General features: G+C 45.3%; 4 pseudogenes; 2 read left to right on the forward strand and 2 right to left on the reverse strand.

The window, feature by feature from the left end:
• On the reverse strand, positions 7884-9052 carry SOWAHCP1 (SOWAHC pseudogene 1; annotated as a pseudogene).
• LINC00268-2P (long intergenic non-protein coding RNA 268-2, pseudogene) lies at positions 10623-11997 on the reverse strand (annotated as a pseudogene).
• Positions 13216-13712, forward strand: ANKRD20A6P (ankyrin repeat domain 20 family member A6, pseudogene; annotated as a pseudogene).
• SNX18P1Y (sorting nexin 18 pseudogene 1, Y-linked) lies at positions 18485-19131 on the forward strand (annotated as a pseudogene).

Here is a 19341-nt window from a genome sequence, read left to right on the forward strand (position 1 = left end):
TTTGGCCTGGCTGTGAGAAGCCTGCGGCTCCTGGCTCGGCCTCCCCTCCGCCTGCCTGGCGCATGCACTCCTGGGGACCCCAGCCCCTCCGGCATCCTCTTCCCTGAGAATCCCGCACCAGAAAGTCCTCGCTAGGAAGTCCATGCCCTTCCTACAGCACAGGCCCCTGGGCCCCTGTTCCTTCCACCTTCACCTCCTCTCCCACCACAGCCCACACCCTCACTCCAGGCACAGGAGCCGGGGCTCCTCCTGGGCCATTCCCACCACCCCACCCAGGTCTCTCCAGCACAACCACGTGCCGGCCAGTGCCCACCTCCTGGACCTGACCTCCCCCGGTCCTGACCTCCCCGTGGCCAGAACCCTCAGTCCATGCTGCTGTCACCACTGTGCACTGGCCTGACACAGCCTCCTAAAGGGGCTTTGAGGACAGCAGCCGGGAGACTTACCCCAACCCAGGCCGAGCCAGATCCTATTGCAGGTGGCCTGGGAACCTCTTCTCACTCTCCATCAAGATTGAGAGGTCAGCGGACCTCTGAGAAACATCCTTGAGCCTCGCCATGACTCAGTTTCCCCAGATGGCAGCAGGCTGGAGCCCATGCAGGGCAGGATGCCAGGCTCCACCTTTTGTCTGGAACCTGCATTCACTGGGCACCTCTCTGTAGGCATAGCAGAGCAGAGCTGCCTGTTTCTGTCCCTGATCTGCAGCCCCAGGAGCCCGAGAGATGACCTAAGCCAAGGAGAAGGCCTCTGGGCCAGAGCCCAGCTCTGCGAAGTGGGAGACCTCTCAGCCTCCACTTCCAGGTGCCCTGAAGTCATTGGCAGGGGGTGCTGCCTACTTGGGGCTCCCAGACTAAGGGAACACATTCACCTGGTGACCACAATAGGCCCTGCAGGCTGAGGCACAGGATTTGACCAAGGACGCATCAGAGTTAGGGGACTGGGCCCTGACTCCTGCCAGCTGCAAAATCCCAAAGCCCCCAGCCCTCTCATGGGGTGAAGACACCCTGAAGGACACTCCAGTGTGCTCCCACCTCTGGGTTCTGCCAGCCAGAGAGTGGGACTCTCAGGCCACATGTGTCTTGCTGGATCTCAGCTTCAGGGACCCAGGGTGCTGGCAGCTCTCTGAGACCTGGGTCAGGGGGTATCCATTAGAGCACCTTGGTCAGGACCCAGAGATAGGGAGGGCAGGGCTAAGAGCACCCCAGGCAGTTGGCATCTCCAGAAAGCAGGAGGTAGGGCATGGCTCTGTGACAGATGTCCCGTGACAGGGAGGATTGGAGGGACAGAGGGACGTGCTCAGGGGCTGAGGGGCAGATGAGGCCACCAAAGGGCACCTTGGACACTGGATGGCCCCAGGAAGGCCCCTGAACCCCATCCTGATTGATCCAGGGACAGTGACCTTGGCCCAGACTGCACGCCTGGAGACTCAGGTTCCTTTAGTTTCTTAAGAAACTACTATGCTCCTTTTTGGCATAACTATGATTTTACATTCCCACCAGTCATGTGTGAAAGCTCCAGTTTTTACTCATACTCCCCAGCGTTTGATGTTTTATTTTTATTTTAGCTATTCTGATATATATGTGTTAGTCAATGTGGTCTTAATTTGCAAATTTCTAATGACTAATGATATTTAACATCTTTTCCTGTTCATAATTAAATACCATCTGTATTCCTTTTCACATATCATTAGCACAAATGTGAAATATCAGAACAAAATTTTTCACACAACTTCAAAATTTTTAGAACAATACTCAAGGGAAAAGGTGTTTATTTAGAACAATGAAAACAATGAGACATTAACTTCCAGCTTAAATAAAGTTGATTGTGTGCATAAAAATGGTGAAAATATTGGACTTTCTTGGCAAAAGAAGAAAGGGGAAGACTTTATATTTTCTGACATAATATTCATCATTTGTCTTTGGTTTGTGTATTATGTGTATGATTTTGAAAAAATGCACCAAAGATATAACTTTCTGGTGTTTGCTTTGATATTATCTTTGCAAACAGAAAAGTTGGCACATGTTTCTGTATAAAACTGGTCAAAGTTGGCCTAGGAATGATCTTACATTGTACTTTCACTTTACATCATACTGTAAGAGTTTAATAATAGCTAAGGCATCAGCATTGATGTGGGCTTATTATACCTATTCAAGAGATGGTGTGAGGTTTAGGAGAGTTATGTGCCCTTTATCATAAAACAAATCTATGAAGCATTTATATAAAAACCCAGTATTTCTGGTTTCAAATTCAGTACTGTGCCGTCTGCTTGATAGATTTGTTCGCAGGTTAGAGACATTTTATTGCGTAACTTCCATGAAATATCACAGTTGTACTCTTGAATATGTTTGAATCACAAAAAGACTTTAATCTGCACTCAGTTCTTGTAACTAAAATCTTCAGTCTGAATATGAATTTCACTTAAAGAACATCCCTAGAAATTTCAGAGAGAAAAAGACTTTACTTGCAGAATACAATCTGCATTTGCTTTGACAACTAGTTAGTTCACATATGTAAAATAAGTCTACCTGTCTGTATGCATAATTAATATGTAACAGTAGTGTGGCAATGACTTGTTAAAGCAATTAGAATGGCAGTGGATCATGGCACAATTTACCTTAAAAGCCATGAGCAGAATACATCACAAGCTATGATACAATGAATAGTCATTAGGTTTAAAGTAGTATCCACATATAAAAACACAAAGCATATTTTAGCTCTTTAAATGAAAGCTTCATTCAGTCAATATTGGTCTTCCTGTAGATGCATTTATGAAACAAAAACCACAAAACATACAGCTTACCCGCTTCTCAAAACTCATTGCACAATAGGTTGAGGGACTTCTCTACACCAGGACCTATTATTAAAACCAGTAAGTCCTCAGTGAAAATCATTTATTTGCCCGGAGTGTCATCTGATGTGTCTGTTGTAGGCAGCTGTGGCAGTGGTGGGAGGTTTAGTGACACGTACCCTGCCCACGTCTGTCCGTCCATCAGTGGGCTAGTGTCTCTCTGGCTGCACCTGAGAAGGGTCTATAGGAGTTAACGGCATTAGCATGGGAGTCAAAAGAAATCATCTTGGATTCAAACTTCCATTTCAGTATTCATTTCCAGCTAAGTTTGTGTAGCATGCTTAATGTTTCTGAAGCTCAATTTTAGTAATGGTAAAGTATATCTGCCTAAAAGACAGGGACACATCCCAGTTTTGTGTTTTTTTATTTTTATTTTACCGTATTTTTCTTGAGACAGAGTTTTGCTCTTGCTGTCCAGGCTGGAGTGCAATGGTGCAATCTCGGCTCACCACAACCTCCGCCTCCTGGGTTCAAGGGACTCTCCTGCTTCAGCATTCTGAGTAAATGGAATTACAGGTGCCCGCCACCATGCCCAGCTAATTTTTTGTATTTTTAATAGAGACGGGTTTCACCATGTTGGCCAGGCTGGTCTTGAACCCCTGACCTCAGATGATCCACCCACCTCAGATGATAATCCCGCCAAGTGCTGGGATTACAGGTGTGAGCCACCATGCCCGGCCTTATCCTCAAAAAAGAATTTATCAAAATTGTATGTGTGTGTGTGTGTGTGTGTATGTTTTAACTAGAGTAATAATATATTAAAATGCCACTCTGTATGTTCTAACAAAAAACCTCAATTTAACAAATGTATATGGGGAGAGGGAGAGAGAGAGGGAGAGAGAGAGAAGGAGGGAGGCAGAGAGAGAGAGAGAGATATGTATCTCTGGTGTCTCTTCCTTTTTGGATGATGACCCCAGTCCTAACAGATTAGGGCCTTACCCTTTTGCCCCTATTTAACCTTTACCTTCTTAAAAGCTCCTTCTCCAAATACAGTCACACTGGGAGATAGGGCTTCAGGTTAGGAATTCTGGGGGGACATAATTCTCTCCAGAACAGACACTAATATCATGAGTGCTCAGATTGCTAGTGAATATGTTCTTGTTACAATTATTTTCACTTTGCAGTTTTAAATAATGAATACTTGGATAAAAAATACCCACTGTATTCTAATTTTTTCAACACTTCTTACTTGCATGGATTCTAAACAGAAGTCCAATGTAATTCTTATGTCTGTTTCTCTGTAGACAATGTGTTTCTTCCTCTGCCTTATTTTAATATTTTATCTTTGTTACAGGTTTTCTACAGTTTGAATATGATATTCCTAGGTATATTTTTAAAATATTCATCCTGCTTGGTGTTCTCTGAGCTTTTTGGATTTGTAATTTGGTGTCTGTCATTAATTTGTGTTTTTTTCCTAGTTAAAAAAATGAACTTTATAGATTTTACATTCTCAACTTTCACTTATTTTCAAAATGAGAGACAAGACACCTAAACTCCAAGATTTCAGTCCTGAATGCAATAGTACCAGATTTTCAAGTTACATAAGTGAACTGCATAAACACCACTAGTTTCAAGTGTACCCTATAAGAAACACATGGACATACTTTCATTGTTTAACCACACGGTGTCATATCAATAAACATCAAAGTATCTGACATATATTTGTCCATTAAAAGTAAACACAACTCTGAGTATCAAATTAAATTAATCATTTGCCTTTTATAATCTAAATCAGAAATTGAAAAACAGGAACATTGTAGAGGTAAGTGGCTGAAAATGCTCTGCTTACTGCACACAAGCACATCATGACAAAGAATGCTAGAAGTAGCTTTCCTCAGAAGTAATAATTGAACATTTAAAATATTATTTTCTCAGAAAAGTTAAAGCTTTTAGTGTAAAAAGCATGGTAAATGACATTTTAACTTAATAGTTAACTATATAGCAAAATATAGATTTCAAGCAATTAGTTACCCACATTTCACCAGAACCTTCAGTGAAAGTGTCTACTCTCAACATTGACCAGAACCTTCCTGTTCTGAAGTGTCTACTCTTTAGAGTTGCTTCAGCTTTACATATCTGTAAAACCTAAGATTACTCAATGAGAAGTTACACCTTATTCTGTACTAGATACACATAATATATATAGATTTAGAACAAATGGATGCTTTTCAACCTCAAAAAAAGTATTTTAATTTACACAATGTTAGATTGTTTTTCACCCATGTGTATACATAACAGTGTTTCCCAAATTCACAGGGTCCATTTCCATAATTCTAAAGCAAAAATAGAGGCACACAAATGGATAATAATTCATAGTTTTATGCCTTTTTTTAACCTATCTTTAAAGAAATTCAGTTGCCATTTAGACAAAGATGTGATGAACCTGTAACAAATTTCTATGACTTGGAAAATTAAAGGTCTAAAAATCCTAAATGTAGTAGCTCTGGGCAGTTTGCAATTTGTGCATGGGTTCACTCACCCTATGGTCCGTGAACTCCCTTATCCTGCAAGCTGTAGGTACTTTCGGCAAATATGAGACTCAATAAGACTAAGGAAGGGCTTGTTTAAATTAGTTCCCCTCACAGTTGATTCTAATCTTGCAATGAACAGATTTAATGTACTAGTGAGTTAAATTTTAAAGTAATTATAAAGCCATTTACTCTATCATAAATGAATGAAATGTAAGAATCACACTTAAAACAAGTCTTTCATTTTAATGAATGGTATCTTTCATTTATATACAAAGGAATTCACTTGCCAGCAGCATTTAAATATAGGAATAGTCTCATCTTTTCTCTAGTGCCTTTTATAAAGCAGTGCCATTTCTAACTAGGTGTATTTGTTTCCCAGCTATTCAGTAACTACATTATAGGTATCTAATTGATTCAAGAAAAGATTGGAAAATTGAGAAGATTTAGCATTTTAAACATTTGAAAAATGTTGCTACAAAGCATAGATTATGAATGCATTAGTAAAATAAATTGACACCTTATGTGAGAATCATTAAGTTGGTTTAATTATATCACAGATGTATGGGCTCACTAATATTTATACCAATTTATGCTAATTAAACCAGAAAGTTTCTGTACATAATTCAGCTCTGAGCACCATTTAATAGGGTTATGCCAAATAGAACCAATGGTTATATAATACGCAGAATATAAACCTCAGCAAATTCAAACTTTTGGAATGGCAACACAAGTGAGAATGAGAGGCAATATTTCATTTCAAAGTACCATAGGCTGCTAAGAGTGTTCTTTTCTTTTAAAAATTTGTGTGGTTGTTAGTAATGTACCTTAACACTGGTCCTCCTTGACAGCGGTGTTAGAGATGGTTAGGTAGAACCTATATTACGGAAGTCAGCGTTGCCCATTTCTTTAGTTCAGTGATTAAAATTGAAATTACTTTTACAAAACAATTGAACTGCTGCTTACAATATAAATAGAATACCAACAGGATTCCTGTTGTATTCACATTATTCTCTAATTAGTATTTTTACATTTCCACTCTGACCTGACCTTCAGTAGTTCCTTTATTTTTATTTTCAAGCAATTTTGTGAGTATATAATAAGCATATATAGTTATGGGGTGCATGAGATGTTTTGATACAGCCATGCAGCATGAACTAATCACATCATGGAGAGTGGGTATCCATCCCTTTAAGCATGTTTCCTTTGTGTTACAATCCAATTAGATTCTTTTAGTTATTTTTAAATGTACAATTATTGACTAGAGTCCCCCTGTTGTGCTATCAAATAGTATGTCTTATTCATTCCTTCTGCCTATTTTTGTACCCATTACCCGTGCCCTGTCTCCCCCCCCCAGCCCCCTAGTACTTACTGTGTCCATGAGTTCAATTGTTTTGATTTTTAGATCCCACAAATAAGTGAGAACATGCAATGTCTGCCTTTCCGTGCTTGGCTTATTTCCCTTAACATAATGATACCCAGTTCCTTCCATGTTGTTGCAAATGACTGAATCCCATTCTTTTTTAGGGCTGAATAATACTCCACTGTGTGTATCTACCACATTTTCTTTAATACATTAATCTGTTGATGGACACTTAGGTTGCTTCCAAATCTTAGCTATTGTCAACAGTGGTGCAACCAACATGGGAGTGCAGATAATTTCTTCGATATACTCATTTCTTATTTCTGGGGTATATATCCAACAGTGGGATTGCTGGATCATTTGGCACCTCTATTTTCAGTGTTTAGAGGAACCTCCAAACTGTTCTCCACCATGGCTGTACCAGTAGTACCTTAAAATGCAAATGCAATTGGTAAAAGAACAAGGCAGCATGTAGTGCTTGCACTTACAAATACTACCAGTTTTGTAACAATTTGCATTTTTTTGTCCTTGAAAGAGTAACCACTTACTTAATAAAACGGATATTTAAAAGTGCAATATTCCTTCCTTTGCATGGCATGCAGGAATGGTGAAAGCAAAGAAACAGTCATCCCTTCTCTTCCCCCCACTTCTGGTCTCCCGAAATAGGAATGCCAGGTCAGACAGGTGGAGGAGGGAAATGGGGCACAGGTCAAGGTATGATGAATCTCTTAAAAAGAAATCCGGCCAGGTGCAGTGGCTCACGTCTGTAATCCCAGCACTTTGGGAGGCAGAGGCGGGCGGATCACGAGGTCAGGAATCGAGACCATCCTGGAGAACACGGTGAAACCCCGTCTTTACTAAAAATACAAAAAAATTAGCCGTGTGTGGTGGCGGACGCCTGTAGTCCCAGCTACTGGGAGGCTGGGGCTCGAGAATGGCATAAACCCGAGGGGCGGAGCTTGCAGTGAGCGGAGATGGCGCCACTGCATTCCAGCCTGGGCGACAGAGCGAGACTCCTTCCCCCCACCGACAAAAAAAAAAAAAAAAAAAAAAAATACCGCTTTCCCCAGAATGCTAGCCTGATAGGAACTCCACCCCATCCATTCCAACCTAGTAAGGATAGTTTAGTTAGTCTTTTCTGGTCTCACTTCCTTACATCTAGTGTTCTTTTTTTGTTTCTGTTATTAAATTTCGAAGACAAACCTTAGCATTTTCTAAAAGAAATTATTTTTTACCTAAATACATTGGACTTTGGTCTTAATTTGAAGGAATAGGATAAGTGGACTTTAAGAGAGCGTTCCTACTCCTTCTCTTCCAGTGGCTGCTCTGGGTCCCTGAAAGAGGGTGTGATGTGAACCATCTGGGTTGTGAAGTGGATTTTGTTGAGCCTGTTTTTTAAGTCCATTAGTCCTGCCCGAGGTTGTGCGCCCTGGAATCCTTGGCTTCACGTCTGGACCACCTTCAGCCAAGTGGTGATGGTGGAGAGGGTCCCCCCATCTTCCAGGACGTGTGAGAGTTTGTAGGTGGTGAGATGGAGGGGGCAGCTTTTAAGTCTTCCAGTACCCACCCCCGCTGCTGGCGGTGCTCTCCCCATCGTCCTTGTCCAGGACTCCCATCAGGGTCTCAATCTCTTCTGTGATGCTCTGACTCACATGCTGGGAGGCCCTTTTCCCAATGTAGTCCCTGATGTCCACATCGGCGTCCCATGTCCCCACTAGCAGCTTCACCATCTCCAAGGTACATGGCTGCCAAGTGCAGGGTGGTGTAGCTCTGGCCTTGCTGTTCCCAGGCAGCAGAGGCTCATTGGGGAAGTTGACCAGCATGGCCAGAAGCTCCAGCCTGCAGTGCTAGGTGCCTGCGCAGGCAGGTGAGGCTGTGATGAAGCCCAGAGTGGCCAGCAGGCCGGCTGGCACGGGGGCAACCCCCTAAGCTGTCCATTCCCCATTGGAGGCCGAGAGCAGCCAGCCGTGCTCCCTGGTCCAGCTCACCCAGCCCCACAGCTCTCCTCCGCGGATGGGAAAGCCAGCGCTGCACCGCCAGAGTCACTCTTCTCTGCGGTGTCCTCGGAGGAGGAGCTCCCAGGCTGCTGCCTCCAGGACACAGGTTCTTCTTCAAGGGCAGGGCACTGCACCTTCCCAAGTCGCTCAAGTTCTGGCGGAATGGCCTCGGGGCGGTAGCCCCCCAGGAGCTGCCCCTGTCCGCCTCCTGGCAACCGTGGGGCGGGGGCTCCAGGTCATCGCTGGTCTGAGGCCCCGCATCTGGGGTAGGGGCTGGTGGAGCCGGCGAGGTCTTCCTGCGTCCCCGCCGCTCAGGGCGGCCCGTGCAGGGGCTGGGCTCCCCCTTGCCCAGCTCGGCCCTGCCTGTGGAGCACATTGGGGACCGCTGTTTCAGGGAGGGGATGGTGAATGCTCCGCTCCGCTTTCACGTGGACACGGGACAGGTCCCAGGGGCGTGGCCTCAGGCGGAGGCCCCGCCAGAACCTCTTCCTGAGACGCAGGTACTGGGCGCCAACGGCGGGGTCCGTGCAGTGGCCACAGAGTTCACCCGGGGATACATTTAAACAGTTTTATTCTCCTGTTTTTTATTTTTTCATTCCAGAAACCATTACTACTATGCAACAAAGTAAAAATATCTAGTTTAAATAATAATTTGATACGGTCAGGTGGGGATGAGTGCACACGTGTGTGTACACACACACGCAGGCTCTAAATGGGATATTTTGGCGGAGCAGAGGGATAAGGCTTTTATTTCGTTGGTGTGTTGAGTTAGAATCGCCCTTGTCACAATTAATTAATTTAAATCAGGAGTTTTATTAAAGCTAATTTGTACAACTAGGCAACATCTTTTCTCCATATATTTATACACATATACACATCTCTAATGTTTGCATTTATTACTTCATCTAAAAGAGCTTGGAAAAAGGGTCCTAAGTCTTGGCTAGTTAAGGTAAAAATCTATATTTTAAGGTAATAAAAACGTTTGCTACGGACAGAGACATGCAGACACTGTGGGTGAAGCTGATTCATGTTCCACTGAAGGAAATGACATGGGGTTTTCTAAGGGAAAGCCCAGCATGCTGCAAGGAGAGGGGAGGTCCCAGGAGGGAATTGGAGTCAGCATTAGGATCTAAGTGTCACAGGGTAGTGTGTTCCCAAAAAAGACTGACTGTTTCTGTGTCCATCCTGAACTGGTTACCATGATTGTGTGTGTGAGTGTGTGTGTGTGTGTGTGTGTGAATTAAAAGAGGAGTTACATGCTGGGGCATTTCTGGTATCTCAACTGGCATCTCAGCTGCTGGTGATGATGGCTATACATTTTCCTCAGTATTCAATGTGCGTATTTTGAGTTAACAGTCCACCCATTGGCTGAGGCAGGTGGATCACCTGAGGTGAAGAGTTCGAGACCAGCCTGGCCAATATGTGAAACTCTGTCTCTACTAAAAATACAAAAATTAGCCAGGCATGGTTGCAGCACCTGTAATCCCAGCTACTCGGGAGGCCAAGACAGGAGAATTGCTTGAATCCAGGAGACAGAATTTGCAGTGAGCTGAGATGGACCACTGCACTCCAGCTTGGGCAGCAGAGTGAGACTTGGTCTAAAAAAAAAAAAAAGTTATTGTGACATGCTGTACACATTCACAAATTCAGTGTCTCCCAGAAGTCTGAGATTCTTTTTTTCTTTCTTTCTTTCTTTTTTTTTTTTGAGAAGTAATTTCACTCTTGTTGCCCAGGCTGGAGTGCAATGGTGTGATCTCGGTTAACTACAAACCTTCCTGGGTTCAAGCGATTCTTCTGCCTCAGCCCAAGTAGCTCCTGTCTCCCAAGTAGCTGGGATTACAGGCATGTGCCACCATGCACAGCTAATTTTTTATTTTTAGCAGAGTTGGGGTTTCTCCACGTTGATCAGGCTGGCCTTGAACTCCTGACCTCAGGTGATCCACCTGCCTTGGCCTCTCGAAGTGCTGGGATTACAGCCATGAGCCACCATGCCCAGCCAGAAAGTTTTAAGGCTATGATTATTAGACCATCATACACACAAAAAATACTTAAAAAGTCTCAGGAATGCAGTCCCTCATTGGCCTGGTATGACAAAGATAAAAAGTTGGTCGTGAAAATTTCTGAATGTGGTTTAGGACAAGGAACCCCAGTAAGATTCAGAGACAACCTAGAAAATTGAAAGACAATTTTACTACCCAAATCACCCTTCTATAAAAAATAATAGAAGATGTCAAATATGAAAATAAAACTGTCCTCTGGGCCCTCAATTTTCTGTGTTATTGGGAAGGCAGACAGCTACTCAGCAGTTATATCCCATAACAATGGATAACACTAAAACAACTGACAGCATCAAGTATTGGTTAAAAAGTGGAACTGATTCTCTCAAACATTTTCATTGTAGTTTAAGATGGCACAACCACTTAGGAAAATGTCTCCCTATTTCATACAATGCCAAATATATACTTATTTTATAACCCAGAAAATCCACTCTTATGTACGTAAACTCAAGAATAGTGAAAATATTATTACAGAAAAATGTGTATATCTGATTTTTTCGTAGCAGGTTTATTCATGATAGCCTCAAATCAGAAACTGCTTTTGTGTCTATCAATAGTGGAGTGGATTATAAACAAAACAAGCAAAGGCCTCAAACCTGTGGTATAGTCATAAAATTGAGTATTACAAAATAAAATTAATGAATAATCAATAGGAGCAAAATGATGTCACAAGCATGTTTAGTGAATGAACATAAAAATTATATAATTTATAGTTTCACTTATGTAAATGGTGAAAACAGAAAAAACTATCCTTTTGTGGAAAGAATCAAAACCATGGAAGCCTCTGTGGTCAAATACTGAATGGAAATGGGCATGAGAAAACGTGTTTCTGCCAGATCTTCTATATGCCTGATGTACATTCACTCGATGTATTTTGCATATACTATTTTTGCAAATAAAACTGAGATAGACGCAAAATAACTCAAGAGAAAATAGCTAGAAATAGGTAGAATTGTGATAGAAGCCTTGGAAGCTCCCCCCTACCTTGCTCACCTGGCACAGGCCGAGGAAGCCCTGGGACAATGCTGTGAGCGATCTGAGGGCCTTCCAGGGGAGCCCCGCCAGCCCATGCTGGTGCCCGAGCTTCCCGCCGCCATCTGAATATGTTGCAAAGACAGTGCTGGCCTGGCAACCGGTGACGCTCCATGCCCCACCCTGACCCCCACTTCTACCCAAGTAGCGGCAACCCCAGAGACAGATGCCTGGGCAGCAGCGGCTAAGTCTGGTAGTTGGCCATGCGGCCAAAGGACGGGAACTGGCCGTTCACCCCATCCCAGTTTCCACGGAGAACTCAACCACCATGGCCCCTGAACGGACCCTCAGGCCTGGGCTGTGCTCTGTGCCTGCAAACCTGACTCCATCCAGGGGAGCTCCGCCTTCCCACGCCAGCGCCTCAGCTGCTGCAGAAAACTGCAAAACTGCAAGTTGCACACAGGCAGAGATGACGGAGCAACCCCTGACCCTCCGTGCCACTCACCCTACCCGCACACACACCTGCCACGCGGACCCTGAGGCCAGTGCCTGGGCGCCCAAGTCAGGCAGTCCGCACAGCAGTGGCACCAGGGTGAAAACCTGCTGCTCAATACCATCCTGGTTACCACGAAGAGCCAGCCCTGGTGGCCCCTGAGTTCTTGGAGGAGGCCAAATCACAGCAACCCCTCAAGTGGGAGGGCGATGCACTTGACCCTGAGGACATCAGGTACCAGGCCCGCCAGCTGACGCCGGCATCGGAGCCGCAGCTGCAGTCTAGACGTGGTGCACTGGCAGTAAGTGACTGGACACCCCAGACCAGGCCCGCCCCCCAGTAGCGTGGATCCTGAGGCCAGACCCCCAGGCAGCAAAATCAGGCGATGGGTCCCGCCAGCAGCCGTTCAGTTTCATCCATGTGGATACAGAGTGCCCAGCGCCCGGGCCCAGGATCCAGAGAGATGTCCAAGAAGAGCGGAACTTGAGGCCAGGTGGGCTGTGTGCTCTGCGACCCTGAGGCCATCCAAGGGAAGCTCCGCCGTCCCATGCCAGTGCCAGATCTGCAGCTGCAAACTGCGCGTGGGGCACTGGCAGCAGTGAGGGCTGCTGGGGGAAGGAGCAGCCCCTTACTCTGCCTCCATGCCTCTCCAGCTACCTGACACTAGCCACACAGACTCCAGGACCAGAGCCTCAGCGTGAAGCCGGGCCATGTGCGAAGCCACCCAGGTGGCCGCGGAGTGCCCTTGCTAGCACCCTATCTCCGTTCTGAGGAGGAGCGGGGCGGGCTGCAAGGCCAGACAGGCCCTCCTTCTCAGGCCGGGCTGGCGGCGCTCCTGTGATCCTGGGGACGCCCGGGCGATCCCAAGAGGACCTGCGAGCCCATCGGCGCCCGCCCAGAGCTGCAGCCCCACCTGCCGGCGCGCGCCACCAGGGAAGGGCTTCAGGGAGCCGGGCAGCAACCGCAGTGCAGGCGGGCGCCCAACGGCTTTGCGAGGCTCACTTGGTCTGAGAGGTCGGAGGCTGCGAGTGTCGCTGCTGAAAGCTGTGGTGGACCGGGCTGGATCGCGGACTGTGGAGTAGATCACAGATTTGGGATCGCGGATTGGGGGTTGATCGCGGATTTGGGGTTGGATCAGGGATTTGGGGTTGGATAGGGGATTTGGGGCTGGGTCGGCCGGGGTCGGGGGAGGGGGTGGGTGAAAAGGTGACAGGGAGGTCGGCCGGGGTTGGGGGAGGGGGGTGGTGAAAAGGTGACAGGGAGCTGCCCCCGCTCAAGAGCCAGAGGTTGGGGGTCTGAGAAGTCACCACTATGAAGTTATTCGGCTTCGGGAGCTGCAGGGGCCAGAGGGCCCACGGCTCCATAGAACATGTCTACATGGGTTCCGGATACCGAATCCGGGACTCCGAACTGCAGAAGATCCACAGGGCAGCTGTCAAGGGCGACGCCGCGGGGGTGGAGCGCTGCCTGGCGCGCAGGAGCGGAGGCCTGGATGCCCTGGACAAGCAGCACAGGTAGCGGGGACTCAGCCCGGGGTGGGAGGGGGTCCCCAGGCCCGGCTTCCCCACTGCCCCTGGGATGGGGCCTTTCAGCGCTCTGGGCACCCTCAGAGCGGCGGAGCCAAACGGACTCTCAGCTGTTTTCCATCCCTCATAATTCCATGGCTGGAGCAGTTGGAGAATTTGAGTTATTTAACTCACAAAGTTCAGCATACACAGTGTTGTTATTTTTAACGTACACGTTGAAAACATGGTTTATATACATTATAGGAGGTACCTAATGAGAGAACTCATTCCCCTATCAAAAATACCGTGAGTTATTTCAGTAGGCAAAAAGTTCTCAGATAAGAGAGCTTACCTGAAAAATATTTACTATATTATATATATATATGTATGTAATATATATATATATATATATATATATATATATATATATATATATATATATGTATGTATATTTTCAGATGAAAAGTATGTTTTCATTTTATAGGGAATTCATTATATTCTTTTTTTTTTTTTTTGAGTCGGAGTCTCGCTTCTTTGCCCAGGCTGGTGTCCAATGGCACAATCTGGGCTCACTGCAACCTCTGCCTGCTCGGTTCAAGCAATTCTCCTACCTCAGCTTCCCAAGTAGCTTGGATTACAGGCAGGTGCCAGCGTGCCTGGCTAATTTTTGTATATTTAGTAGAGAGGGGGTTTCACCACGTTGGCCAGGCTGATCTCGAACTCCTGACCTCAAGTGATCTGCCCGCCTCCACCTCCCAAAATGCTGGGATTACAGGTGTGAGCCACCGCGCCCGGCCTATGTTGTTTATTATATATCATAAGTTTTATATATATATATATTACTGATACGTATACATATATACCAGATATAATCTGTCATATATATCAGTTATATACACACATTAGATGAAAAGTACATTTTCATTTGACAGGGAATTCTTTCAAATCAAATCATCAAACACTCTAAAATTGGGCAAAGTACACTTTTCCAGATCTGCAAGTTACTTGTGTACATAAGAAAAAGTCCTTCGCATTTCTGGTATAAGAATTTAAATAAAAGAGGAATGAAACAGTTTTCTATCCACAATATTTGTGAGGATGTTTTATACTCCTGGTTAAAGTTTAAGTTGCTGATTACTTTTCAAATAGATAATTTGGTGGTAAATACTACAATTAAAAAATACGTATGCCCTTTACCCATCAATTCCATTACACTAAAGCACCCTTAGGAAATAAAGATACATGCACTTTATTTTTCACCTCACTTATTTTAAAAAGAACCCAAAGAATGGATCCTATAAATAAACTTCAGTTGCATCCACAGGATGGAATAATATGTGACCATTGAAGGTGGCAATAGATACAGAAGTATATTGATGTGCAAAGATGTATTTTGTTATAGCTAGTGAGAAAAAGATCAATTAAATTGTACATACAAACATACTATGGTCTTGTTTTATCAAAAAATATGTACAAAATATAAAATTTGTAATTTCTGAGCATTTGTATTTTAAGTAAAGTTCTTTTCCTTTTTCTTATCTGTGATTGCTGCAGTGAGCATGTACAAAACTTCTAGTAAAGTTTATTAATAAAGGAATAATCCTTGGGAAGACAGGAATATGAATCTTACAATATTAAAAATAATTTCTCACTTTCTATTTTTTATCATTGAGTGTATTGTTATCTTCTTTGAACTTTTAGCCTCTTCAGAAGTAAAAAGGGAATATTTTTATCTGTTTCCAGATTTTATTATCTATATATTTTATTACGTACATATGTTTTTCTTATGTATTCATTCAATTTATGCAAACAATGATAGATTAATCATTTCATTTTAATTGTATTCTTAAAAATAACATTTAAATACTACTATTGCAAAAATATTGCTTTATAGGAGTTTATTTAAAAATATTGAACTCCCCAACTGTATTTATCCATTCTTTCATTCCATTTATTCATCAAACATAACCTGAGTACCTGTTATGTAGCAGACATATTCTGCTATCTCTCAGGCCCCTTCTATCCTTAAAAACTTCATGTTTACCTGCCCTGCCTGCACAAGCTGAGAGATTTAAAATAGGAATATTGGGACTGAATCTCCTTGAAACTTTGTCACCCAGCTTTCAAACAAAAGCATTTCTGAAGTTAGAAAATAGTAGAAGATAAGCTTTAACTGCCCACTCAAAAGTTTATCAGTCTTAAATACTAATATTAATCATGGGAATGTCTTATTTGCATATATTCTGTAAGCATAAATATTGAATAAAATGAGCCATATGTATTCATTTGAATCATGAGTTTCCTTTGTCTTCAATTTGTTTGAAAATCAAGGAATTAATTTGTTTGAAAAATGCATTATTATTATTTCAGTGTTCTATCCCCATAGTACCTTTAAGCAGGCAGACAAGCCAGCAACCTCACCCACTCAAGGAAGCCCAGATGGCCAGGTTCCAACAGCATGAGTAGCTGCCACCTGATGGCTGATGGAGCAAAGTCCTGAGGAAAAGCAGATGGCACTGGGGCCCTAAATCTAGGGCAGAAGAACTGATGTACTGTGACTGGCAGCATGTGAGGTTGGTGATTGGCCCACCTGTTCCTGGCACACCCTTGCAGAGGTGGCTGGTTGCTCTTTGAGCCAGCTTGGCCTTGCCTGGCATGCACAAGCCTCGGTGCAACAACCGTGCTACAAATGGAGCCATATATAGGAAAGGAGCAGGAGGCTCAGGAGCAGGGTGTGCACTGCCTTTGGGGCTCCAGTGCATGCCTCAGGGCTCCTATGGCACTGCAGGCTTCTTTGTTGCCAAGAGGCAGACCACAGGCCATCTTGAGGAAGACTTTATGTACAAGTGCAGAAAGCAGCCAGGATTACCACCTTACCACCCAGGGGACTCGGTCTTCTGTGGTCCTGGCCTGACAGAATTTGTCCCAAGGCAGGACAAGGTCACTCCGAGCAGTGTGTCAGTAGGTGGGGCCTCTGCATGCGAGGCAAGGCCAAGCTGGCTCAAAGAGCAAGTAGCCACCTCTGCAAGGGTGTGCCTGGAGCAGGTAGACCAGCCACCAACCTCACCCACTGAAAGAAGCCAGGATGGCCAGGTTTCCACAGCCTGAATGGCTGCCTCCTGATGGCTGATGGAGCAGAGGCCTGAGGAAAAGCAGATGGCATATTTAACTCTTTAATCCATCTTAAGATAATTTTTGTATAAAGCAGATGGCACCAGTCCATGCCTCAGGGCTCATATGGCACTGTAAGCCACAGAAGGGTGAGTCCCCAGGGTGGTAATCCTGCCTGCTTTCTGCATTGAACATAAAGTCCTCCTCAAGATGGCCTGTGGTCTGCCTCTTGGCCCCACCTTTAGGGTAGAAGAACTGTTGTACCACGTCTGGCAGTGAGTGAGGTTGGCGGCTGGTCCATCTGCTCCTGGCACACCCTTGCAGAGGTGGCTGCTTGCTCTTTGAGCCAGCTTGGCCTTGCTGGGCAAGCACAAGCCTCGCTGCAACAAGTGTGCTACAAATGGAGCCATATTGAGGAAATGATCAGCAGGCTCAGGAACGGGGCGTGCACTGCCTTTGTGGCTCCAGTCCATGCCTCAGGGCTCATATGGCACTGTAGGTTTCTTGGTCGCCAACAGGCAGACCACAGGCTTTCTTGAGGAGGACTTTATGTTCAAGTGCAGAAAGCAGCCAAGATTAGCACCCAGGGGACTGGGCCTTCTGTGGCCCTGGCCAGACTTAGAATTTGACCCAAGGCAGGACAAGCTGACTCGGAGCAGAGTGTCAGTACCTGGGGCCTATGCATGCCAGGCAAGGCCAAGCTGGCTCAGAGCAACTAGCCACATCTGCAAGGCTGCACCTGTAGCAGGCAGACAAGCCAGCAACCTCAGCTACTCAAGGAAGGAGGGATGACCAGGTTCCCACAGCCTAAGTGGTTGCCACCTGATGACTGATAGAGCAGAGGCCTGAGGAAAAGCATATGGCACTGGGGCCCTACCTCTAGGGTAGAAGAACTGATGTAAGCTGACCGGCAGCAAGTGAGGTTGGTGGCCGGTCCACCGGCTCCTGGCACAACCTTGCAGAGGTGGCCGGTTGCTTTTTGAGCCAGCTTGGCCTTGCCCGGCATGCATAATTCTGTGCAACAACTGTGACACAAATGGAGCCACACAGAGAAAATGAGCAGCAGGCTCAGGAACAGGGTGTGTGCTTCCTCAGGGGCTCCAGTCCATGCCTAAGGGTTCATATGGCACTGTGGGCTTCTTGGTTGCAAAGAGGTAGACCACAGGCCATCTTCAGGAGGTCTTTATGTGGAAGTGCAGAAAGCAGCCAGGATTACCACCCGTGGGACTCGGCCTTTTGTGGCCCTGGCCTGACAGAATTTGGCCCAAGGCAGGACAAGCTCACTCGGAGCAACATGTCAGAACCTGGGGCCGTGCATGTCAGGCAAGGCCAAGTTGGCTTAAAGAGCACCCAGAGCATCCATTCTGGTGGATGAGCCAACCAATGGCCAGCTTCTGGGTGTGGGCACAGTGCCACATCTTCCATCGCTTTCTGACGTATCCCACCAACACTGAAGCGACAGCCTGGAGAGAGTGCAAGAGGAAGGCTGAGAAGGATGAGATAGTGAGTGCGGGCTTCTTTCCAACCCTCAGCACACCCCCAGGTGGTGACCATCAACCTTTAGGGGTGGGAGAGCAAGACTGATGGCTTCAAATGCTTCCCCAAGAAGATGGACACAGGCCACTCAGCTCATCCTTACAGCCAATGTGTTGACAAGCAAGCAGATGACAGTGACAGGCTTTTGGAAAGAGCATCAGAAGGTGGCCAGTTTTTCTTCAGCCTCAGCCAGGCCTTGGAACTTGACTAGGCCATCCACTTCACCAGAGATGCCTTCAAGAACATCAGTAAGCTCTTTGCCAATGAGTCCAGGAAGGACCTGGACCCAGCCATGGACTTGTTATTGCTGTCTCAGGGACACCAGACCAACATCCTGGACATCATCCTCATACACAAGGAAGCTCTTACCAAAGTCACGGAGAACAGGCAACAGGTGGCAGAAGGGAAGACAGAGGTGCAGAGGCTGATGGCATCATCATCACAGGAATGGGATTTCTTTGGCCACTTTGGCTGAAATTCACCACTTCCATCCAATTCACTCAAGTGAGAGACTTGAAATCACAGATGGACCATTTCTTGCAACAAGAGATACTATTTTTTCAAAAAGTCACCTAAAATTTGATAGTGTTGAATGACTAGCTATTTTATTGTGGACTTTTTCCAGTTCACAGGTACTTTCTACAGCAGAATGATAACAGTATCAAAGAGCTAGTGCCAGCTATCGGTGGTAGTACAAGGATGACTTTGTGCTCAACTGAAACCCAGCTGAATATAGAACTGTGTAGGAAAGTGTTAATATGGTGATAGAATAGAAACAGTAGCAAATGAACTAAATCATACTATGAATGCCTACACTACCATTATAACTTTTTGAAGAATGATAATACCACTTACTTTATTGCCTTTTGAAGTAGGAATATTTTAGTGGATGTGCTATAGACCTGAAACCCTATAAAGAATCCCAAAGAAGCTGGCTGGATAAAGCCTGCTATGGATGTCTTTATACTCAAAGACTGATGAGGCAATTCGA

This window comes from Homo sapiens, chromosome Y (genome assembly GCF_000001405.40).
Source record: "Homo sapiens chromosome Y, GRCh38.p14 Primary Assembly".
Taxonomy (NCBI): Eukaryota; Metazoa; Chordata; class Mammalia; order Primates; family Hominidae; genus Homo; species Homo sapiens.